Below are 24,122 nucleotides of genomic sequence, written 5' to 3'. Positions count from 1 at the left end.
TATATCTCAAAGTAGCCAAATAGCTGGTGTGGGACAGTTTTTCTTTAGAGAAGAATTCTAGCTAATAAAGGAAGTGGGAATAATAGAATTAAATAGAGTTAATTCTAGTTAATTTAATAATAAAAGATTAAATACATTCGTTTAATACAATTTGATAAATTAAATAAATTTAATAAGATTACATTAATTAATATAATTAATAAATTAATAAAAATGGAGTAAGAAATGTATTTCCACCTGGATGTAATCAGCCAGACCCAGACTGGAAAATTCTACAGGACAAGCAAAGTTTCTTCAACCAACAAATTGCAAAGAAACAAAGTGGGGGAGATTTTAAAAATCTAAAGAGACACATCAATCAAATGCAACATGTCAACTTTGTTTGGATCCTAAACACTTATGAGAGAAGAAAACTTGAACACTGACCAAATACTTGATGATACTGAGGAATTACCGTTTATTTTCTAAGGTGTGATGATAGTATTGTGGGGTTAAGAATTCTTAATTTTCTGGCCAGACGTGATGGCTCACACCTGTAATCCCAGCACTTTGGGAGGCCAAGGCAACGGATCCCGTCTCTACTAAAAATACAAAAATTAGCTGGATGTACTTGCTTGAACCCAGGAGGCAGAGGTTGCAGTAAGCTGAGATCACACCACTGCACTCCAGCCTAGGTGACAGAGTGAGACTCTGTCTCAAAAAAAAAAACAAAAAAGAGTTCTTAATTTTCTGAGATACAAACAGAAGTATTTATGGATGGGATGATGTCTGGATGTCTTCCAAAATAATTCCAGAGGGAATGGGAGGGAGGAGACGGGGTACAGATAAAATAAGAATGAGCACGTGTTGATATTTACTGAAGCTGGGGGATGGTGTACGTAGGTTCATTATACTATTTTACTTTTGTATGTTTGAAACTTTTTGTAATTAAAAAGTTCACACACACACACACACACACACACACACCCTCCAAAATGTCTCTACCTCCCCTACCTACCATCACTCTCGCCTGGACCACTGCAGTGGCCTCCCCTTCACGAGTCGCCTGTTTCCACCCTTACTCTGACGTCTATTTTCCAAGCAGCAGCCAGAGGGAGCCTGTTAAATCCTAAATCAGATTACATCCCTCCTCCGTCCACAATGCTCTTGCGGCTCCCCCTCACTCGGAGTAAAAGCCAAAGTCTTCACCATGGCCTGTGAGGCACCACCCAATCTGTCCTCAGCCACCTCTCTCCCTCACCCCGCACCACTCTCCCCCTCCCTCGTTCTGCCCCTGCTGCGCTGGCTTCTACACTGTCCCTCACACACGTTAGTCATGGCCTCACCTCAGGAACTTCACACTCGCCTGGGATGTTCTTCCCTTAGTTATCCACGTGGCTCACTCTCTCACCTTCCTCAGATCTTCGCTCAGATCTCACTAATCACTAAAGCCTTCCCAGGCCACCCAATCTAAAGTTGCAACCGACCCCCGCCCACAACACACACACACACACACACACACACACACACACACACACACACACACACAGAGTCTCTCACCCACTCCCTATTCCTTTCTATTTTTCCTTATCACTCATCATCACCTAAAGTACCATATATTCTATTACTTTATCATGTCTCACCCTACTAACACATAAGCCCCCTCAAAGAGCGTTTTTGCATGTTTGTAACAGTGCTTAGCACAGAACAAGCACTCCATAAATTTTTGCTAAATTAACAAATGACATTTCTACAAGCCCAGCTGAGTAACTGCATTCTCCCCCTCCCCCATCAGGTTCTGAGTTTTGTGCCCTCCCTCCAACCCAGGGAGGACCCAGAGCTAGTGGGCCCCACCACCCAGCCCAGCAATAGTCACACTGTGAGCCTCCTATTGGGCTGTCTACTCCAAGGCTGCAAGGACCCACTTACCTGAAGTGTCATCTGGGGCCATGGACGGAGAGGGGTGGGGGCTACCAGTGGACCCACTGACTCCTGGACATCAGGATGCTCTGCTAGAGGGAAGAGAAAGGCAGCATTGGGCAAGACAGGCATACAAGTAGGTATGGTTTTGTTAAGAAAATCTGCCATCCTAGCCAACTGGCAGTTTTGCCTCTGAAGCTTTCTGTGACAATCTAAAGCAGAGGGTACCCCTTCATTTTTTTTTTGAGATAGGGTCTCGATGTGTCACCAAGGCTGGGGTGCAGTGGCACAATCATGACTCACTGCAGCATCAACCTCCCAGGCTCAAATGATCCTCCCAGCTCAGCCTCCCGAGTAGCAGGGACTACGGATGCATGCCAGCATGCCCGTCTTTTTTTTTTTTTTTTAAGAGATGAGGTCTCACTATGTTGCCCAGGCTCATCTCGAACTCCTGGCCTCAAGCAATCCTCCTGCCTCAGCCTCCCAAAGTGCTGGGATTACAGGCATGAGCCACTGAGCCCAGCCTTTTTCATTTTTATAGAAAGAAAAACAGTAGGAAGAAAGACATGGTAAATACAAGCTAAAACTTCCGAAGCTTGCCAATTGCTTACCCATGGCAAAGGTGTTATCATCCATGTTCTTCGTCTTCAGTTCCTCCTCGGCAGGCCTGCAGGGCAGAGGAGAGAGTACATGGATCTAATAATACCCTGAGAGGTCACTTCTGCCACCCACTGGCACCTTCTGAGCCTCTGTGCTAGCCCACCTTCACCTGACAGCTGCTGTTTTCTCTTCTGCTGCCTTTGTTTATCCCCTCATCCTAAAAGTCCTACAGCCTCATTATAGAAAATTCGCAAAATACAGGAAAGTCTAAAGAAGCAAGAAAAACAATCACACATCAGCCAGAGACAACTACTGTTACCATTCTGGAAAATTTCCTTCCAGATATTCTACGAAATCATTTAGATTCTACAGACATAATTTCACAGCTAGCTTTGTCCATTTAACAGTAAGAAACATCATTATACACTTTTGCAAACATTTCAAATGGCTGCTTAATACTCATATCATACCATTCCCTTCCTACTGAGCAGCTAAGTTCTTTCATTTAGAGGTTGCAAAGCAAACCAGCAAACAGCATTGGGCATAGTTTTATCGACACTTGTATCATTTCTTTAGGATACATTCCTGGCTATGGAAAGAGAAAAGATAGAAGAACCCATCTTTTCGGCTGGGCGTGGTGGCTTACACCTGTAATTCCAGCACTTTGGGAGGCCGAGGCAGGGAGACCACTTGAGGTTAGGAGTTCAAGACCAGCCTGGGCAACATGATGAAACCCTGTCTCTACTAAAAATACAAAAAATTAGCTGGGCATGGCGGTGCACGCCCATAGTCCCAACTACTTGGGAGGCCGAGGCAGGAGAATCATTTGAACCTGGGAGGCGGAGGTTGCAGTGAGCCAAGATCGCGCCATTGCACTCCAGCCTAGGGGACAAGAGTGAAACTCAGTCTCAAAAAAAAAAAAAGGGCCAGACGCGGTGGCTCACATCTGTAATCCCAACAGTTTGGGAGGCCGAGGCAGGTGGATCACCTGAGGTCAGGAATTCAAGACCAGCCTGGCCAACATGGTGAAACTCCGTCTCTACTAAAAATATAAAAATTAGCTGGGCGTGGTGGTGGGCGCCTGTAATCCCAACTACCTGGGAGGCTGAGGCAGGAAAATCGCTTGAACCCAAGAGGTAGAGATTGCAGTGAGCCGAAATCACACCACTGCACTCCAGCCTGGGCGACAGAGTGAGAGATTATCTCACAAAAACAAAACAAAACAAAACAAAACAAAAACACCTTTTCTAAGAAATGGCAGGTAGACAAGACTGTGAGGCAGAGGAAGGAATGCAAATGGAGACTGGGAGGGAGGTCACAGAGGCCTGGGTCCCTATGCTAACCCTCTCGTCCCCGTATCAGCCTGGCAGGTCGCTTCACCTCCTCACTCATAAAACAGAGCCCCGGGGAGTCAGGATGTGCACTAAGCACAGGGCAGTCAAGAGGAATGAGGATGGACAGCCAGAAATCAGGGCCTGACACACAGCTGGGATTGAATCAACTGTAGATATTTATGGGTCTTGCTCCTCCTTCACCAGGCCAGTCAGATCCCTGAGTGGCATAAGCCGAGTGCATTTCAGGTGGGTCCTCCCAGGGGTGGCATCTCATCATGGAGAAGTCACTGTTCTTATTCTGAAAATGAGTATCAAGTGTCTACAGATTAAGGTAAATGAGGGAAGCATTGACTAAAACCTGAGAGGAGCTGGGGCGAATGCCCACACCTTTTTCTTCCTAAGAGGCAATGTGACATTCTTGATACTTCTGACAATGGTTGAAAAATTTTTTTTTTTGAGATGGAGTCTCGTTCTGTCGCCAGGCTGGAGTGCAATAGCATGATCTCGGCTCACTGCAACCTCTGCCTCCCAGGTTCAAGTGATTCTCCTGCCTCAGCCTCTCAAGTATCAGGGATTACAGGTACCCACCATCACAGCCAGCTAATTTTTGTATTTTTAATAGAGACGGGGTTTCGCCATGTTGGCCAGGCTGGTCTCAAACTCCTGACCTCAGGTGATCCACCCTCCTCGGCCTCCCAATGTGCTGGGGTTACAGGCATGAGCCACCGTGCCCGGCCTGGTTGAAACTTTTTGAAAACCCATAACCAATTACCTTCACAGAAACGAGTATCACCATCTGACCCATACATAGTACCTACTATGGCATTACACACTGTTCTAAGTGCTTCACATTTTTTTAAAGAAGTTTTTGGGGTTTTTTGGTTTTTGTTTTTGTTTTTTTGTATTTTGTTTTTAGAGATGGGGTCTTCCTACGTTGACCAGGCTGGTCGTGAACTCCTGGACTCAAGCGATCCTCCCATCTCAGCCTCCCGAAGTCCTAGTACTACAGGCATGAGCCACGGTGCCTGGGCAACATGTGTTAATTCAATCCTCACAATCACCCTATGAGACAGGTACTTGTAATCCTCTGAAGCAGGCAGTACTATTGTCTCCATTTTACAGAGGATAAAACAGAGGCTGAGTAAATGGCTCAAGGTCATACACTTCACATCACAACCCAGGCCTTTTGGCTCTTACCCAGTCAGCTGCTGCTTCTTGGATGAGGGAGACTGGGGTCTTACCCAACCCATCTCCATCCTTTCTAGAAGTAGATAGAGGGAGGCATCAATACTAGACAAGATCCCTCCCTCCTCCTTCATGCAGGCTTTTCTTTGGACCTGCCTTTGCCCACATATTCATTCCCCATTTCCCTACCTCCATGGGCCTGGGACATGCGTGGCTAGGAGGCCACTAGACACAGAATGGCTGCAAGAACTGCTTTCTATAAACACCCTCGGGGAGAACATTTGAACCATATATACGGATCTAGAGTCTAGAAGGGACCGTCTGTCTTTCTCTACTGTCTAGGACTCACAAATCCCACCAGAGGTACTTGAATCAGAATACTACAGGGCCTAGGGTGGGTGACTCTGGGAGCCCAGCTGCCACCTCCCACACATCACAGATGAGAAAGAGAGATTCAGAGCAAACCAGCTTGGTCTCACACCAATCCCCTCCGTGGTCCTAAAATCCAGGTCTTTGGACTTTTGTTTCAACACAATTTCTGCCAGGCTGCACTAACTTACTTCTTTTTGTTACCATAGTCCTTCATGACAGAAAACATCCTCCTCCTAGGATCTTCTAAACCAAGCCTCTTCAAGAAGGCCCACAGACAGACAGAAAGCCAGCCCTCCCACCTGTGCGCAGTAGCAGGCAAGCCTTCTCCTCCATCTGGCCTAGTCCGGACATATATTACAAACAGGCTTCTAAAAGCCACTGCAGTCATAGATGTGAGACAGAAAAAGGAGAACACTCAGGAATCAGCTAGCCAGCAGGTAAAGGACTCCACAATTCAGTTGGAGGAAGGAGAAAGAAAAACAAATACACAATCAATCCTTCAGCCCCCAGAGCACCCTTTCCATGGCTGAGGAGGGCGAGAACATCCAAAAAGCAGGTCACGCCATTGAGCCAATCCCAAGATCCACAACATCGACAGAAGCAAACAAGTCGTTCTCCAAAGTCAGATATGAAAGCAGAAAGCACAAGCATGTATTGTTCACCTCCTCCACCATGGGCCCCTCTCATTGACACACCAAGGCATTTGAAAACCTTCACATCTATCCTTCAAAACAACACCCTTCCTTTTTACAAATGCAAAAACTAAAACTCAAGGAACTGCATCTCTACACTCACTGACTACACAACCACGCTGGTAACAAACACTCCAGGAGGGCTCCACTTTGAAGAGAGTTTGAAATTGTGGGCTTAAAAAGAAACAAGTTATCTTTGAACCGTCTTTCACAGTAAAAACTCAAGGGCAGCTATGACTTCAATCAACATGAGGATAGTAAGAGAAATCAAGTACAAATGTATACTGACTCACTGATCGGTAACAGAGAAGAGGGGTTCTTAGAAAAATGGGGAGGGAGAAGATTAAGAACAAAACTGTACCTGCAGTATGCCTGCTCGTTTTCAAGAAGGAAACCTGTTCTTTTGGCACCAGCCCCACAAGTACCACGTGGCATCCCCTCAAGGGCAGTGAGCCATAGGGGCCAGGGCACACAGATCTGGAAAATCTTGGACATGCATCATTTGGGTGCTAGTGAGCACTAGTCAAGCTGGTGTCGACTAAAAGGGGCCATCTCAGGCCTGCACGCCAGTCTCCTGGGCGTGCAAATTCCTCCGGCCATCAGGAAACACAATGGCTGCCAAGCTGATAGGCCCCGAGGAGACCAGAGGGTGAGGATTTGGAAAGAGGTGGTGTTGGCCCCGGCCTAGGCCAGCCAAGAAAGCCAAGAAAGGTGATTCGCCAGTCACAGAGTAAGCGAGCGGGTGAGGGCTGACAAGCCCTGTGGAGAAAAGCAAAGCAGACTTTCAGAGCAGTCACAGACTGCCATTGCCACCACCACCCGAGTCCTCTGGAGCACCCCCAGCATTCATGTTTTCAAAGAATTTTGCCAGCCCAAAGTGGGTCAGGCACTGAAACCCAAAGGGAAACTCAGCAGACCCCGGCTCCCATGTAGTCAACCTGAAGATAACGCTGACTTTCCGGGGGGATGAGTGGCTTCAGAAACCTGCCCCACGATACTCAGAATTGCAGTTACCCTGAGCCATCTGCTTTCTGAAAAGAACAGGGTTTGAAGGTGGCTGTGAAAGCCACCAAGTTATGTGGGGCACTGCTTTGCCTTCCCCAACAAGTGTGTCAGCCTCAACTCTGGGACTTGCGGGTGATCCAGTGGGGTAGAGGGAGAGCAGTTTCTCGTGCCATGAGCTTCTTCAACAGCCATGACTTCATTCTTTGGCCACGACCCATAGTAAGAAATCCATTCTACATCATAACCCAGCACACCCACACGTGTAAACAGACATATAAATAACTGAAAAATGGTTGTTCTTCGAGTGAAACAATACTTACCTTTACTGCATGTGGTGATACACTGGCATTTCTTATGCTATTTCCTTTTTCTTTTTAATGCTTGTTGAAACCCAGTAAATTGATTTCACAACTCAATAAAGGGTTAGGATATGCAATTTTGAACAATTCCAGCTCTGCCACCTATCAGCTGTGTGACCTGGGGCAAGTTACTTAACCTCTCTGTGCCTCAGTTACCTCATCTCTAAGGAGGGGATAATAATACCTACATCAGTGAGTTGTTCAGCAGATCAAAGAAATATTTGAAAAGTACCTATAAAGCACTTAACAGTAACCCCCTCCAAATTTCCATTGAGGGAAACTGAAGCTCTGAAAGGAAAGCAACTTGCCCAGTGTTGCCCTGCTGGTAAAATGCATCACCCAGCCTGGTACAGTAGCTAAGAGCTGGAGCACTAGAGCAGGACCACACAGGCTCAGATCCCAGCTCTGCCACTTTCTTAGCACGTGGCCTCAGGCCCATGTCCTTAACCATAATGCCCTACCAAGTTTTCTGTGGCATAAAAGAGGATCACGTTCACATTAATTCCTCACTCTACAGAAAACTAAGATGCCCCTGACTTGTCCCGTTCAACTCCAGTTATTCTGGTTTCCCCTGAGGCTGCCAACTCAGATAGCAGGTTGGATCCCCATCCCTTCAGTTATAGGTGCACTGAAAGACAGTGGGCCTTCCTGTGCATCAGCCCCAGTGACGGATCCTGGAGACACCATGGTGAGCAAACCCAACTAGGAAGCTTACAATTCAGTATGGAGGAAGACATTAAAAAAATACTCAAACTCATTATTTCAACAAACATTTATTGAGCACCTGCTAAGTGCCAGGCACTGTGGCAGGCCTGCAGGAATACAGTGGTGAATGAAAGCAGACCATGTCCCTACCCCTCACGGAGCTTACAGTCTAGCGGGGCAGAGAGTCATCCAGCAACCCCCTAATAAAGATATAACTACAAACTGCGATCAGTGCCTTTAGAAAAGGAAAGAATGCCCTAGAATAAGGGTCCCTGGCCCAATCTACAGGGTCAGGCAGGGCTTACTTAAGGATGCTGAAAAGCAAAACGAGCAAGTGGGGAGGTAGGGGAGTGAGAGGCTGCTTGGGAACACTGTGGGAGAGGTGATGAATGCAGTCCCCGACAAGGTGAGTTTGAGGAATTATTTGGGCCATCAGTCAAGTGGAGATGCCGAGTTTGGATACATGAAGCTAAGGGAAGAGCCAGGAGAAAGAGAAGGGCCAGAGAGTTAAGAGGAAAACCAGCAGAGTGTGGTCTCAAGGCAAGGGAAGACAAAGTGTTTTAAGTAGGAGTGGTCAACCACTTCAAGAGGAAAACTAAAAAACCACCTGCAGAATCTGGCAGATGCCGGGGGCTAACACTTACGGGGGTGAGCAAGTGCAGAAGGCAAGTACAGGCAACTCTGCAGGGGTCAGCAGTGAAGGGGAGGGTGATGAGGTGCTGGCCAGAAGCAGGAGGGAGAGAACGTGGGGTCAGCGGAGACAGAAGGGATGCTGGCACAGGCAAAGGTGAATAGAGGATCAAGCAAGGAGGGCAGCAGAAAACCTGCCAGGAGAGAAAAGGTGACTGATGATGTCAGATTCTAGAGCAAGTAGCAGAAACTGGGACCCAGAGCACAGGAGGGAGAAGTGGCCTGAGCAAGAAGGGACTCCTCGTCATCTGTAACACAGGGGAGGGAAATCAGCGTGCAGACTTGGGGGCCACAAGTTATAGGGAGTTCCATTCTTATGGCTTCTGTTTTGTTTTTTGAAGCAGGAGAGAAAGTCTGAAGGTAAAGAACATTTGAAAGAGTCACTTCAGAGGAGAAACGAGTGGATCAAAAAAATATAGTAGAACTGCTAGGCAGGGTGGCCGATGACCCCTCGACTGGTGGCGATGTTCATCTGCTCTGCCATGGGACATTCTCTAACAAAGCTTAGCACGTGCTGGGCTGATGAGTGCTATGAAAAAGCCAGGGGCCCGAGGACACTGGGGTGGACAGGCTCCCCTGGGGAAGTCCTCTTAGAACTGAGGGATCAACACTGGAGGAGACTGCAAGGGGTACGGGATAAATGTTCCTGGTGAAGGAAACAGCAGGGGCAAAGGCCCTGCAGCAGAAAGGAGCGAGGCCCTTTGGAGTAACAGAAAGACCATGGTGACAGGAGCTCAGAAAGACCACTGGTGTTAAGACTATGAGCCAGTGGAGGCCAGATTGGGGAATGGGATGGGAGGGTGCTTGAAGACCATGGTGAGGCTCTCTTGGTCTTTACTTTTAAGAAGAATAGGACACTTCCAAAGGGTAGTGTCAAGTGCCAAGGAAGATCAGGAGGGCTTTTCCCCACACCAGCCCTAGGACTTTGGACTCTGGGAGCCTCAGTTTGCTCATCCAGGAAAGAGAAATTTAAAACCCTCTACTTCACAGGGAATGTTGTCGGAATTAAACCAGACCTTGCATGAAAATATAGTACTCAGTGAAGTGCCTGGCGAAGAGCAGGGGCTCAGCCAGGTCTCATACAACAAATCCTCTGTACTCCATCCCACAAGCCCTGTGACATCTTAGGACCACTCTGCATCTCTTTCCCTGCTGGAACCTAGCACTGTGCCCAGCACACAGTAGGCAGTCAATAAATGCTTGTCGATGAATCATCTCTAAGCTTTAGAGTTACCAAATGCCTGGTCCAGCAACCCAGGGAAAGCAGCCATTTGGGTTTCTGAACTCTATCCTGATGGCTACCACGGACTTCTCCCATGCCCTCACCTGATGTGGCTGTGCTCAGTGCACAGAGGGCCTACAGCCAACATTTCCTCAACAGGAAGCCCTCTGATAGGGCTCCCACAGGTAAGGGATATACCCTGAGATCCTCCGCCATTTCCCAAGAGGGCTAGGTCACAAAGGGTGGCTAGTCTTCAACAGTGCTGCAAGTCACTGGCAGCACACAGGTTCTAAAACAATAATATGTTGAAATGTACTCACCAAGAAAGCCACCGACCTACAAAGAAACCCTTATCGCTGATCTTGCAATGAGCACCAACCTCCCCTTTGCAAGAGCTGAGATCGAAAGATAAAGAAGCTATCAAAAAGCCATCTGCCCACTTAAAATAATATCACAAGTCATGTTAGGAACCACAGACCTGGGGCCAGATACCAAAACAATTGTCTGAACAGGCTGCTTCAATTTCTCCTTAAAACCGCCCATGTATGTTAAAAGAAAAACACCCTCTCCACCCACCTTGGCCCTGCAAGGTTTTGATTTCTCTGTTCTCTGCCTTTCACACTCTTTAAAATGACCAAACTCCTTTACCCAAACTGTCGCATCTTACAGACAGGGTTCCCATGACAGCCGGCGGGGATGACAGCTTGGGAAAGTGATAGAAATGAAGGTAGCTCTGGGGTACTGGACCTGCTCAGTATCTTCATCTGGGTGGTGGCTACACAAGTGCATACATATGTACAAATCCACTGGGCTATACACAGAATATCAGTACACTTTATGTAGGTATACCTCGATAAAGCAAAAAAAAAAAAAAAGGTAAAAGGAAAGCACGACATGCTGGGAACACCAAGAGTGAAATCCAGAATTTGCCCTGAATCATGCCACGCTTTCTAGAGGACCAGTTTAAAAAAAAAAAATAGAAAAAAATAAATGTCCCTAGCATTTCTTCCCTGGCCCTGTCACTCACTAGCTGAGAGGCTTTGAGCAAGCTGGCTCATCTCTCTGAGCTACCTGTCTCCCCTCTACTAAATGGGGATAATCATAGCACCTACACAACACAGCATGCACAGCAGGCCTCACGGAGAGAATGGATCTGATGTTCATAGCACAGAAATCAGTAAATGCTGGCCAGTTATCTTTTGCAGTTACCACCATGCTTCAGTTACCTTGCCCATGTTTGCTGCATTCAATCCAACCATGCAAAGTGACTGTCATTTCCCTTAGCAGAGAAGGAAACGGAGGCAAGGCCACACAGCTGATGGGCGGAGCCGAATTTAGGAGAGGAATCCAGGAAACTGTAGGTGTGGCTCCCTAAATACTGACACTAGCTAACACCTGTATGATACTACTTTGAGCCAGACTCGGTTCTGAGCACCTTTACTCTTATCCCGTAAAGTAGATGCTATAATTCTGTTTTACAGGTGAGGGTCCTGAGGCATGGTGTAGTTAAATGCGTTGGCCAAGGTCACAAGGCCAGTAAGTGGCAGCGCCAGGATTTGAACCCAGGCAATCTATGCCAGAATCCACACTCTTAATGCTGTAAGAAAAACCATGCTGCCTGCCCCCTTTAAATGAAGTCTCAGATTATGGTGGGGCTCACAGGTGGGTGAGTGGGTACCTGCCTGCCTGCTCAGTTACCCAGGCACATCTGCCCACCAGACCGGAGCTAGACCTTTCTGAACCACTCACAGCCTAAGGCCTTACCAGAACCAGCAGAACCCACAAATGTCTTACTGCAGCCAGGGGCTTCTGACCAAGCGTATACATACAAGGTCCAAAAAGCATTTTCCCATTTCCATTCCCAGTCCTCCCAGGAACAGGGAAATGTATACATTTTAGGGAGAATCTAGTGATCCTGGGCCAGACTTAGGTGACCGCAAAAAGAATCAGGACTAGCTGCTGCCCTTAAAGAACTCATAGCTTGATAGAGGAAACCTAGGGAAATCTTCTGGGGCCCCCTGGGGTATAACTGATTATTTCTCCCTGTCCCTAAATGATCACAGGTGGTGTGGCAAAAAAACAAGGGACAAAAACTTCAAGTCCAGTACCCATCTGGTTCTGTCTCTCTGCTAGAGCCACTGCTTTCTTGTGAGAGCATGGGCTCAGCCCCTCGCCTCCACAGGACTCAAAAGTAGATTACAGCGTTAACAGTAGAGTGCACAGGCTTCAAGGTCAGGCATGGGTGAACTGGAAGAGCCAGGTGCCATCACTGCCTCAACCAGTTTCTCCACCTCTGGAATCCTGGTTTCCTGCTCTGTCAGAAAGAGAATCTGCTCTACCCCCCACTGGCAAAGCCCTTGGTCCACACTATGTCATTGCAGTTCTCTCCACTCCAGCACACTGCTGATCATTCACACCAAGCTCATTTCCACCCCAGGACCTTTGCACTTGCTGTTTCCTCTACCTAGAACACCCTTGTTCCATATATGCACATAACTGTTATTCATCATCCAGGACTTAGTTTAAATGAAACCTCCTCAGAAAAGTCCTCCCTGTTCCTTTTCCTACAAACTCTCCCCCACCTCCCCACCGTATCTGCATAACTCTTCTTTATCATCATTCGGGACTCACCTCCTCAAAGGCCCTCCCTTTAACAGCATGTCTGACACAGTCATTCCCTCCCAATCTATCCCCTTACTCCCTTCAGCAGCTAACTTTGTCCCTATTTATCCTATCTGCTTGCTTGCTTGTTTTTTCAAACTGTCTCCCATAGGAGCCTGTATGAATCCTTGAGGGTAGGGTAGATGTCTGTCTTGTTCAGGGCTTTACAGTGGAACTCAATAAATGGAGGAATAAAACCCCAGTTAAAACAGTGCCTAGCACGTGTTTGACCTCCATCACTCTTTGACTGACTGACTCAATGCACCCTCCTCCCTGTCCTGGAGAGCAGGCCTGAGGGGTTCCTGGGCCGGAATGCTTGTCCTCCATCCCAGACACAGCCCTGCGTTGGCGGAGGTGGCGCTGGCTGACATTACCTGCGCCTCACCGGCTTCATGCAGCTCTTCAGCTGCCTGGCCTCAGCCTCCACGGGACCCTGGCACTCGGGCTGTGGCTCCAGCTGCGGCAGCTGCTGCTGCTGGGGCAGCCCTTCGGCATCAGTGGGTGTGGGAGCGGGTGCGATCCGGAGCAGGACTGTGTAGTTGCGGCCGTGGTTGTTGGCCCAGAAAGTGCCCTCAGGGGTCTCATAGCGCACCACGAAGTCGAGGCGCGCCCCATCGCCCGCGCCCTCAGCAAAGGGCAGCTGGAAGGCAAAGCGGTCGGTGCGGCCGCCGTCGTCGGGCGAGGAGGCGGATGCCTGGCCGGGACCCAGGCCGAGCCCCGGATCCAGGATGGGATCTCCTGCTCCTGTTCCTCCCGCTCCTGCCCACGGCGGGCTGCGCGGGACGTAGCGCGCTGGGTGGTCGCAAAAGGAAGCCCAGCCGTCGTGTGAGGCCCGCACGTGCACCGCCTTCTCGAAGGAGCGGTTCAGCACGCGTACCAACCCGCGCAGCACCGGCGGGCGGCCCCCAGGCACCCACACCCCGGCACCCCCGGGGACCGCTCCGGGAGGCGGCAGCAGCGCCTCCAGCTCCACCATGACGCGCCCCAAGCGCTCCAGACGGCCCGGCGCGGGCGGCAGCGAAAATGTGGGGACCAGGTAAAACCCCCCGCCAGCGGGGACGGGGCACAGCGGTGAGGGCTCGGGGCAAGCCTCCTCTTCCTCCTCCCCTTCATCCCCATCCTCGCCATCGTCGTCCTCGTCGGCCCCGCCGCCGCCGCCGCCATCTTGCCCGGCCGCCGCCGCCATCTTGCCCGCCCCGGGCCCGCCCCACGGCCGGTAGCGGCGCAACTGCGCCAGCGGCAGCCCCAAGGCCTCGTCGGCGAACAGCACCCTCCGCGGGGCCACCGCCGCCTCGACCGAGGTGCGGGGCTCACCCGCGGCCGGCGAGGGGGGCGCGGAATGCCGCAGCGGGGGCTCCACAGGGGCCGTACGCGCCATATCGGCGGCGGCGGCGGCACCGACGGCACCGGCGGCGGGACCGGCGGGGGCAGGGCCTGAAGGGGCGGGCAGCCAATGGGAAGGCCAGCGCGGAGGGGTACGGCTCACGGGGGCATAGGCGGTGAGATGAAGACAAGTATTGCAGAGGGCCAATGGGCAGCCATGCACGGATGACGTACAGCGAATTGAGAGCCGGAGAAGCACGCAGCCAATGGGGATGCCCGGGAGTGGGCGGTGTAGGGGGCGGGATGATCGAGGAATCAATGGAGAGGCCGGAATGGGGGTGGTGCGAAATCCATGATGAAGAAAACAGAAGCAGACAGCTAATGCGGAAGTCTGAGCGAGAGAGGCATGTGGGCGGTGGGAAAAGTGGAATGGCTACAGGCGATGAGGGCAGCCGGGAACGAACGCAGAGGCCCAAAAAGTGGGAGATCCCGCGGGTTGCGTAGGCGGTGGAACGGTAGCTAGAGAGAGAGAACAGCCAATGGAGAGCCACGCGTGGGATGACGACAATGGCTGCAGCGAGCCAATGGGGAGGCTTGTGAGCGTGCACTGCGGCTTCGAAGGGGTGGTGCCAAGGTGGAGCTAGCCAATACGAAGGCTAAAAGGAGACCAAGAGGCGGGTGTGTAGGGAGCCGAGCCAATGGAGGTGGAGGCTGAAGGCGGGAGCGAGGACGAGAGCTGGCGGATAGCCAATGAGGGAGCCAGGGTGAAGGCGTAGAGACCTCAAAGGACAGTACTAGTATGGGATGAGCCAATGCCGAGGCTAGATAGTGCAGCGGGACGGAGGGAGGACTTGGAGGCAAGATGGGGAAAAAAGCAGAGCCGACGGGGGCAGTGTAGGTGGTGTGAAGGGAGGCATGAGTAGCCAATAAGGAGGCTGGAGAGGAGGACGCTGTGTAGACAGAGTCTGAGGTATTGGGTGGCCGGACAGCAGAACCATAGAACGCAGGCAGCCATTAGGAAAAATGTGCTTCTCAGGGATGGGGTTACCCTCTCCCTAACCCTCCGTGACTCCCCATTGCCCCAGGAATACCCAGAGCCCCTGAAGGCCTAGACCACACCTTGGTGTGTGAACTAGGAAAGTGAAAATGACTGTCCTGTTGCAGTTAGTTACTTACTGGGTCCTCCCTGCCCAACTACAACCTTTTCTTGAGCAGTGCCACAAGCCAAGAATGCCCCTGATTGTTAGCCGCAAGCACTCTCCAGGACTTGATACTATTGTTGAATGAATGGCCGAATAGGAAATTTAACTTTCTGAAGGATTCACTTTTTTAAATTTCAGCTCAGCAAACACTGACCTGACTGTGTGCTACCAGAAGTTGATTGGGCATATGGGTAGCTTCTGACTAATGGAATCACAATCAAAGCCCTGTCCTTCTTGCCCAACCTGACACTCCACACCCCACAGGGGCCTCACCTCCCTTCTTTCTGTCCCCCCATCTCTGCTTCTACTGTTCCCTCTCCCAAGAGTGCTGTTCCTTCTGCTGCTTCCATCTAGTAAACTCCTTTCGCTCTCCCTTTGGGGTCTCACCTTCTGTGGGAACTCAACTGCAGCTTTTGTCCGCTGAACACATCCATTCATACATTCCTTCTCCATCCTGGGAAGATTTACTGAACACCTACTGAGTGCCAGGTTCTGAGCATGCTGTTATCTCATTAGAACCTCACAGCATCCTAGGAGGGAGGTGATCCTTCCAGCAGCCCCTCTCCCCAGGTCTCCATGTTCAGGATGTCCATGAGTTAGAAATGAATATGTTCAGCTGCAAGTAACAGAAAAATCATAAAATAATGGGGGCTTAAGCAAGACAGAACTTTATTTTTTTCTCACCTAAAAGTTCAAGCTGGCAAATAGTCCAGGGACTCCTTCCTGCCCACCTGGTTTGGGCATTGTCTGTCCCGATCTGGCTCCAAGACTCTCAGTCTTCAACAAATCCTTTTGGCTGTCTATTAAAAATATTTACCAAATCCATCCTCTTCTCACCACCTCCACTGCCAGCACTATCACCAGTCACCTAGACTACTGCAGTAGCCAGCTCCTTGCTGGTCCCCTGCTTCCACATTCAGGCCCTAGACCCCATTGTACACTCAGCATTCAGGGGCTTCCTGTTAAATCCTAACACGGTTTGTGTTTCTCCTCTGCTTGCAACCCTGTCATGCCTTCCTCCTCACTCAGCGTTGAAGCCAAAGTCCTTACCATGGCCTACAAGGTCCTGCGTGGTCTAACCTCCGAGTCCCCTTTCTGACCTCACCTCCAGCTTCTCTTCTTGCTCTCTCCACACTAACCACACCAGCCCCCTTGTAGACCTTGAACAAATCAGGTACATTCCCACCTCAGGACCTTTGCCCTGGCTGTTTCCTTTGGAGTTCCTCAGATATCTAGCTGGCTCCCTCCCTCATCTCCTTCAAGTCTTTGTCAGAGGCCCCTGTCTCTGGGGACTTTTCCTGACCCGTTTAATCTTGCCTACTCACCCCCAACTCCCAGCCCTCCCAGTCTCCTTCCCGAGAAGCCCTCCATGAGAGAGGATATAGTCCAGTATAGAGGGGAGGTAGCGACCTCTACCCCTCTCTGCCCTCCTGACCCCAGCCCCCATTCTGCAAGGATCTTGGCTTTCAGCAGCCGTAGCATTTCCCTCTCACACCCTGGGCCTGCCCAAGGGGCCAGCTCACATTCTCGGCCACCATCCTCACTTCGTTTGCCTCCTATATCTCTGGCCACTCTCTTTCATGGAGTGAGTGACAGTAAGGGACAGATGGTCTGGGGAAGGTATAAGGAGAATGCAGCCCACACCTCTGATCCTGAGAGAGAAAACTAGCCCCCTTTTCCAGGAGGGGGACAGGTGCTGGGGCAGGGAACAATGCCTCTGCTGATAGAACTGGCCTGGTTTATAATTACGCAGGAGGTGTAGGGAACATTCCGACCCAAGTCTGCAGGGAGCAAGGGGTTATTAACTATGGGAACATCAGTGCAAGGGATCATTAACCTTAGGACCATCACTGCAAGGGGTCATTAACCTTGGGGCCATCACTAGAATCAGCTCCCCAGGACTCCTTCCTGACATGCATGCTCCTCACCCCCTCCCTTGCTCCCTCCCACATGCCGTGACATCTGTTAAACACCTGCTGTTCACAGGGTCCCTGCAGGCCTCCAAGCAGGGGACCTCATCCCACCTTGGTGCCTCCCCTGGCTGTCCAACACACCCAAGCCATTTTTGGGTCTCAGATGTGTCCCACCAACTCAGAAGCCTCAACCAGCGAAAGTTTTGTTTTGAACTAATGGTGGGGAGGGTTGGGTGTTTTTTTTTTTTTTTAATTGTTGTTGGCTGATTTTTTTAAGGTCTTTTTTTTTCTATTCTTTTTTTTTTTTTTTCTTGTCTTCACAAAGCCAGGCCATCAGGCCCATTCTGGGCTTTTCCAGAAGGGTGAGTCTGAGTTGAGGAAAGAGGCCCTCCTTTTTACGAGGGCTTAGAAGGTTGGGGGAGGAAAGGGGGCAAAGGGGTGAAGGGGTGGATCTTGGCCACCAGATTTGTACCATGTAAATAAAAAGCCCTTTCCAATTTCTCTTCCCCAGGTCTGAAGCCAGTCTTGTAGAGGGCTGGAGTGGTTGTTGGACGACTAGAACCCTGGGCTTTGCAGGGTGCTGGGAGCTGGAAGTCTTCACCATGGCCTGTCAGGAGAAGCCCCTGGGGGCTGGTCTACCATGCTGACCAGTGGTTGAATAGAGTGCCTGCTGAGGTCAAGAGATGCAGCCGCCAATTCCTGGACAACCTAAAAGCCTCACAAGCTTCAAGTCTCCAAGGACTCTCCAAATCCCAGGATCTCCCTGCCATCACATCCTAGAATTTAAAACCTGAGAACATCAAGTTCAGGAAAGCTTGGGGATTTCAAAGCCCAGCACCAAAGAAAGCGGGACCCACACTCGCCAGCTCTGTGATCTTGGGCAAGTTGCTTGACTACTTATACCTCCGTTTCCCTCATCTGTATAACAGGAATACAATAATGATGAGATGGAGCTCAAGGGGCCATGGTGAGGATTGAACATGATCACTTGTGAGACATGTTCAGCACTGTATCTGACCCATGGAAAATTCAAGATAAACATCAGCTACTGAGATGATGGCGGATATTTGGAATCCTAAATCCTTGGAAACTGGGGCTTTTTGAAGTAAAAGACCCCAAAGGCTGAGGGCCTCAGAAGCATCAGGCCATGATGTTCCTGAAACAAGAGGGTCAGGGTCCCAATGGGCCTCTGGGGTTCATCGTGAGGATGGATGCATTAATATTGGGGACCTGCTAGGGACCTTCCCAGTGGGACAGTGGCTGGGTCAGGGCACTCAAGCCCTAAAACGTGATGAGGCGAGACTTTTCTCTCTTTCCTCATTCAGTAACTGTCAGTAGATTCTGGGAGCCAGGGATTCTCCGACTCTTCAAGTCCATGAATTTTAGGGGATGACAGTGGGCTCTCCGCTTTCTCCTCCATGAAGTAACTTACATGCCCCTCACCCTCTGTGGGAGGGGTGTTGCAGGGGGTGCAGAACTCCCCTCGCCGGGTAGTTCAAGCAATGGGGACCATATCAATTCCATCTATAGGGAAACTGAGGCCTGGAGTAGGGCGAGGCCTCTGGGAACCCAGCCCTATTCTGTCTCTTTCCCTGGCATTTCCCATCCACACATAGAGCTTCAGATTCTCTTTCTTTCCCCAGAGACCCTCAAATATCCTCTCACTCACAGAATGGTGTCTCTGCCTGCCTCGGGTTGGCCCTGTGATTTATTTTAGTTCTTTTCCCTTGTTTTTTTTTTTTCAAACTCTATACACTTTTGTTTTAAAAACTGTGGTTTCTCATGAGCCCTATTATCTCATTGATACCTCTCACCTCTGTGGTGAGGGGAAGAAATCATATTTTCAGATGACTCGTAAAGGGCAAAGAAAAAAACCCAAAATTTCAAAATTTCCGTTTAAGTCTCATAATCAAGAAAAGGAGAAACACAGAGAGAGAGAAAAAAAAAACTATGAGAACCCCTCCCCACCCCGTGATTATCAGCGCACACACTCATCGAAAAAAATTTGGATTATTAGAAGAGAGAGGTCTGCGGCTTCCACACCGTACAGCGTGGTTTTTCTTCTCGGTATAAAAGCAAAGTTGTTTTTGATACGTGACAGTTTCCCACAAGCCAGGCTGATCCTTTTCTGTCAGTCCACTTCACCAAGGTGAGTGTCCCTGCTCTCCCCTACCAGATGTGGGCCCCATTGGAGGAGATGGCAGGGAGGTAGGCACGGCGGGGGGGTCAGGGGCCCTCTGGTACAGTGGGATGTACCCAGCTACCGTGATTCCAGCCAGGTAAGGTCTTTAAAAAAATAATAGAATAAATGGCAGAAGACTTAAAGGTGAAGTACTTAATGCATGGGCAGGGGCAAAAATAAATGAATTCATCAATTGATACGTAGATGGATAGGATTTTTAAAATATGTCAGCTGCCAGTCTTTATGGATTTCAGAGCTTTGAACAACTTGAAATGCTGTCCAGGTGCAACTGAAAATTTCAACTGCATCTCTCTCATCTCTTTGTCTCTTAGCTCTTGATGCCTCTCATCCTTCTCTGTCTCTCTGCTCACCCTGTCTTGCTCTTTTACATGTTTCTCTGCCTCTCTTTCTCCCGCCATCTGTCTGTCGCTACACTCAGACTCTCTTTCCCCGCATCTCTCCTGGCCTCTGACCATCTCCCCTATCTCTGTCTCCTCCATCTTGACCACACTCCATCGATCTCCTTTCCTCCATCTCTCCCGCTCTCTTTTCTTGCCTTCCCCCACCTGCCTTCCCAGCCAGCATCCAGCCTAGAGCTTTGTACACAGCTGGCGTTTAATAATAGTAATGTCGCCGAGGACCTTTACATTTTATGAGAGTGAGCATCAGTTCTGTTCACCCTAGTAGCAGGAGGATTGCAAGGTGCCGGGGCAAGCTGAGCACTTAACTGAACTTTGCTTGTATCGCTTTAGAGGAGACCCTTGGGGCGGGGGGGCAGGGAGCACTTCACACCATTGTCAACCGTAGTTTAGCTGTGTGGACCTACCCCAGGACTGCATGTGTGTGACCAGAGTCCATATTCAGGAAGCAAACAGGTTGTTCAGGGCTGGGGTGAGCTCGATTCTGCAGGCTTAGCACAGCGTTTGGCACAAAGTAAGTGCTCACGAAGTGTTAGCTATTAGTATTTCTGTAACCAAATTAGAATCATGCTATATATTGGTTTTGTTCCTGCTTTATTCAATTAACAGTAGTGTTTTTGAAGCTTACTAAAAATTGTTTGAACACATGATCTTTCATGATGGACAAGACTGTCCTCACATCAGCATGAACTTTGATTGATTTGACCAAGTGCCGATTGTTGGACATTCCGGTTGTTTCTCGTTTTTTTCTATAAACATCCCTGACTGCTTCCTTGGATTCCTGAAAAGGGAGTTGCTGGGGCAAAGGGGGCGTGCATTTTTAAAGTTTATGACCCTCTCTGCTAATTCTCCTTCCAAAAGGTTGTCCTATTTTATGCTCCCTCTACTTAAGCTAACCCTAGGTGAGTATTATTATGTTTTAATTATTTCCCAACATGACAGGTAAGAAAAACACATTATCACATTGTTGAAATTTGCATCTTGTGATTACTTTTACTATTCATTGGCCATTCATGCTTTTTTTTTTTTTTTTTTGGTTGTCTGGTCATGTCCTTACTCCTAATAGGGTGTTCATCTTATTTTTCCCTTATTGATTTGCCACAGCTCTTTATTTGGAATGGTTATTAACCTTTCATCAGCCATTACATATATAGCAAATATTTTCCCCAATTCATCATTTGCTTTTTTTCTATTTGTTTATGGTGTTTTTTGTGATGCTTATGATGGTTTTATACAGTCAAATAGGTTAGTCTTTTTTTCTGTGGCTTCTGTCTCTGGTTTTGTGCTTAGAAAGTCCTTTCCTACTTGAAAATGAGATAAATGTTCACCTATGTTGGCTTCTAGTCTCTTTTATGGCTTCATTTTTTCCATTTACTATAGAGGTTAAGAGTGTGGGTACTGGAGCCAGACTGTCTGGGACAAACCCAGCGTCACCCCAAGCCCTATGTGTGATTTTTAGCCAGGCACTTAACCTCTCCATACCTCCATTTCCTCATATGTACTGCAATGGTTATAATAGTACCTTCCTCAGGAGTCTTTGTTTAGATTAAAATTTTTAACCACAGTAAATACTTAGCACAAGGCCTGACACACAATAAACCCAAGATCAGCATTAGGTGTTAAAACTTATATCTTGAATGGATCTGGGCATTTTAGGGTATATGATGATGGTGACATTTCAAACTGGGCAGGGAGGGGTTGTTGGGATAATGGACTGACTATTCACTCAATAACTTTATCTTCTCCCTAATTATCTCAGACACATTTGTTAAACCATACTCCATGGTCCTCCAGTTTGAAATGCCACATTCATCACAAATTCAGTTCTCTCCATATGTGGGTCCATGTCCAAGCTTTCTATTCTGTTCTCTTCCCCAGTATCTGTTCTTATACCAGGGCCACACTGTTTTGCTGATTGTTGCTTTGCAATACAATTCAATACCCAGCCATGGGTGTCCCTGGCACCTTGCCCTTCTTTATTCTTGATTATTTCAGGCAGCATCAGTTGAACCAGCCAGAGACCAGCAAATGTTCTTATTTGAGGCAATCCTCCTCTCGCACACATGCACTCTGGCTCTCCATGCATGTGTCCATTTCTCTCAATGTCTCTCACTATCTCTTGTTCTCTCTTGCTCGCTCTTTGTGTGTGTCTCTTTGTCTCTATGTATCCCTATCTCTCAGCCAGTCCCCTGGATAGAGGGGCAATTGTCAACTTGAAGCCCTGCAGACACCTAATGACTTAACCAGACAGCGTAGAAGGGCCCTGGCCCTTGTCTACTCCACGCCTCTCCGTGCTCAGTGTAGAAGGGCAAATTGAAGACCAGAGATCTCAGGGCCTCACCGAAATGCAGCGGCAGAGTTGAAATCCAAGCCTAGATCTCAGGACTCTAGGTGGGACCCTGGTTCTGGCTCTCTCCCCAACTGCAGGCCTCAGTTTACCCCTCAGCACCCAGAAGGGGGAAGGGGAACCTGGGCTACCATTCCCCCTTCTGCCTTCTCACACGTTGGACCCCAACTTCCCACAGGTTGGACGATCCACGATCACAGTGTGGGGCCCAGCCTCACAAGAGCTGGGCTAGGTGAGGCCCCGGACTCCATAGGTCAGGAGGCCTAGTTGGCCAGAGCGTGGTGATGATGGAGGCATGTCAGTCAGTCAGGCTGTGTGTCCCCAGAGCTGGTGCTGGTCCCCGAAAACCTTGATTGTGGGGCCCCTCTAGAGAGTCTGATGATGGGCTCTGTATTGGCGAAGGCTGAGGCTTTTCCAGCTCCCCCCATGAGGCCCAGACCAAAGGCACACCAGCCTCAACCTCCTCCTCCCCCTGTTGCCATCTCTGGCGGAGTGGCCATGTATTTGGGAACGTTGTTCCAGAGTGGACAGGGAGACTGAGGCCCTAGGGAGGCTGGCTCTGTTTCCAGGCCTGGTAGGCAAGAGGCCCTATGAAGCAGCAAGCTGCCTGACTTTCAGATGGTTCCAAGGAGTTTGGACACCAGGGACACTGGCCTACACATACTGAGACTTTGGGACCGTAGACCCCACAGTCTGTGGTTTTGAGATTCTAGGATCCTTTAAATCTAAGAAATGCTGTTCTATGATTCTGAGGTCCTGGTGTTATACTATTTGAAGACCCCAGGGGTCCCAGTATCTGTGGAGCCTGCCTGGCACTCTCAGAGCTTCAAACCTGGGTCCTCTCCACAACCCAAGAAGGGCCAGGTCTTCAGAGCTAGGGGCTTGTCATAGTGGCCAGATGGACATCACCTACCACATCCACCAGCACCCATGTCACCCCACCTGGGCCAAGCCTGCTGCAGGACAGGGCAGCCAGTTCTCGGAACGAAACCTGTGGGGTGGGGTATCTGCCCTCTTCTCTTCCTCCGTGGTGTCGATGAAGCCCGGCGCATCCGGCCGCCATGACGTCAATGGCGGAAAAATCTGGGCAAGTCGGGGGCTGTGACAACAGGGCCCAGATGCAGACCCCGATATGAAAACATAATCTGTGTCCCAGAAACATCCCCCATTCAGCTTCTGAGAAACCCAGTCAGAAAGGGACGTCCCAACAGACAGTGCAGGAAGCCGGCTGCCCAGCCCGGCCCTCTAGGTCCTCTACCCCCAGACAGATCATCTCCATGTCCCTGTCTGAGAATGTATCTATGCTTTGCTGAGTCAGGCCATCCCACATGTGTTTGGGGAGAATTCTTAGCTCTGGCCAAGTGTCCAGGCAGCTTCAGAAGTGACCACAGGCCAGCCACATGGGCCAGGCCAGAGTGGTGGAAAACATCCATTTGCACCGAAATCGGTATTAGTTTGTTCTGGCTGCTATAACAAAGTACCACAACTGAGTGGCTTCAGCAACAGAAATTGATCATCTCACAGTTCTGGAGGCCAGAGTCCAAGATCAAGGTGTTGCCAGGGTTGGTTCCTTCTGGGGGCCATAAGGGAGAAGCTGCTCCAGGCCTCTCCCCCAGCTTCTGGTGGTTGCTGGCAATCTTTGTTATTTCTTGGCTTGAAGGAGCATCACCCCATCTCTGGCTTCATTCATTCACTCACCTTCTCATCTCACCAGTGCTCTCCCAGGCCCTTGTTCGGAGCCTCCACAGACCCACACTCCTGTTTCTCACGCAGTAATGTTCTAAGCCCCCAGGAGACTAAGAACTTAATACCTGGATTCTCACACTCATCTCCCTCAGCACCACAGCTCTGACAACCACCCCCAGGAGGTGACAGCAAAGAAAGGAAGGAGCAACTGCTCCCCCAGAACCCTTCTATACTCCCCCGGGCTGCTCTCAGCAGCTGTGTGCCCAACTCAGTGCTGTGAGGTGGAACGGGGAGATGGAGACACACACACACACACACCAGAGAGT

The 24,122-nt window shown here is 49.6% G+C and overlaps 2 protein-coding genes and 1 long non-coding RNA gene across 10 annotated transcripts in view, besides 4 other annotated features; 2 read left to right on the top strand and 1 right to left on the bottom strand.

Moving 5' to 3' along the window:
• The window catches only part of PPP1R3F (protein phosphatase 1 regulatory subunit 3F), a 31,677-nt gene extending 17,498 nt beyond the window's left edge, over positions 1-14,179 (bottom strand). For 2 of the 7 annotated variants that reach the window (XM_017029934.2, NM_033215.5), the window contains exons 1-3: positions 13,099-14,179; positions 2,511-2,566; positions 1,909-1,991 (exon numbers count right to left, since the gene is read on the bottom strand). In XM_017029934.2, coding sequence (XP_016885423.1) covers positions 1,909-1,991; positions 2,511-2,566; positions 13,099-14,102 — 1,143 coding nt within the window. In that variant the 5' untranslated portion in view covers positions 14,103-14,179. The other 5 variants (XM_047442614.1, XM_005272687.4, NM_001184745.2 and 2 more) reach the window with 4 other exon arrangements.
• Positions 6,265-6,764: an enhancer, noted in NCBI's record as "H3K4me1 hESC enhancer chrX:49133671-49134170 (GRCh37/hg19 assembly coordinates)". NCBI's record gives its function as "activates a minimal SCP1, AML or CMV promoter by ChIP-STARR-seq in naive H9 embryonic stem cells {active_cell/tissue: H9 hESC(naive)}" and the evidence as "EXISTENCE:reporter gene assay evidence [ECO:0000049][PMID:30033119]".
• Positions 13,904-14,143: a silencer, noted in NCBI's record as "silent region_20845". NCBI's record gives its function as "represses an Ori minimal core promoter by ATAC-STARR-seq in GM12878 lymphoblastoid cells {active_cell/tissue: GM12878}" and the evidence as "EXISTENCE:reporter gene assay evidence [ECO:0000049][PMID:35858748]".
• Positions 14,591-15,090: an enhancer, noted in NCBI's record as "H3K27ac hESC enhancer chrX:49125345-49125844 (GRCh37/hg19 assembly coordinates)". NCBI's record gives its function as "activates a minimal SCP1, AML or CMV promoter by ChIP-STARR-seq in naive H9 embryonic stem cells {active_cell/tissue: H9 hESC(naive)}" and the evidence as "EXISTENCE:reporter gene assay evidence [ECO:0000049][PMID:30033119]".
• Positions 14,844-14,893: an enhancer, noted in NCBI's record as "active region_29637". NCBI's record gives its function as "activates an Ori minimal core promoter by ATAC-STARR-seq in GM12878 lymphoblastoid cells {active_cell/tissue: GM12878}" and the evidence as "EXISTENCE:reporter gene assay evidence [ECO:0000049][PMID:35858748]".
• On the top strand, positions 17,497-17,751 carry FLICR (FOXP3 regulating long intergenic non-coding RNA). The gene is made up of 2 exons (NR_147988.1): positions 17,497-17,524; positions 17,674-17,751. It is a non-coding gene; the product is annotated as an FOXP3 regulating long intergenic non-coding RNA (long non-coding RNA).
• FOXP3 (forkhead box P3) overlaps positions 19,262-24,122 on the top strand; it is a 14,273-nt gene continuing 9,412 nt past the window's right edge. For both annotated transcript variants that reach the window (NM_001114377.2, NM_014009.4), the window contains exon 1: positions 19,262-19,311. The gene's annotated coding sequence lies outside the window, so the exon portion shown is untranslated. The remainder of the gene's footprint in view (positions 19,312-24,122) is intronic.

Source organism: Homo sapiens, chromosome X (assembly GCF_000001405.40).
Source record: "Homo sapiens chromosome X, GRCh38.p14 Primary Assembly".
In the NCBI taxonomy this organism is placed as follows: Eukaryota; Metazoa; Chordata; class Mammalia; order Primates; family Hominidae; genus Homo; species Homo sapiens.
This window is presented reverse-complemented; position numbering and strand designations above follow the sequence as displayed.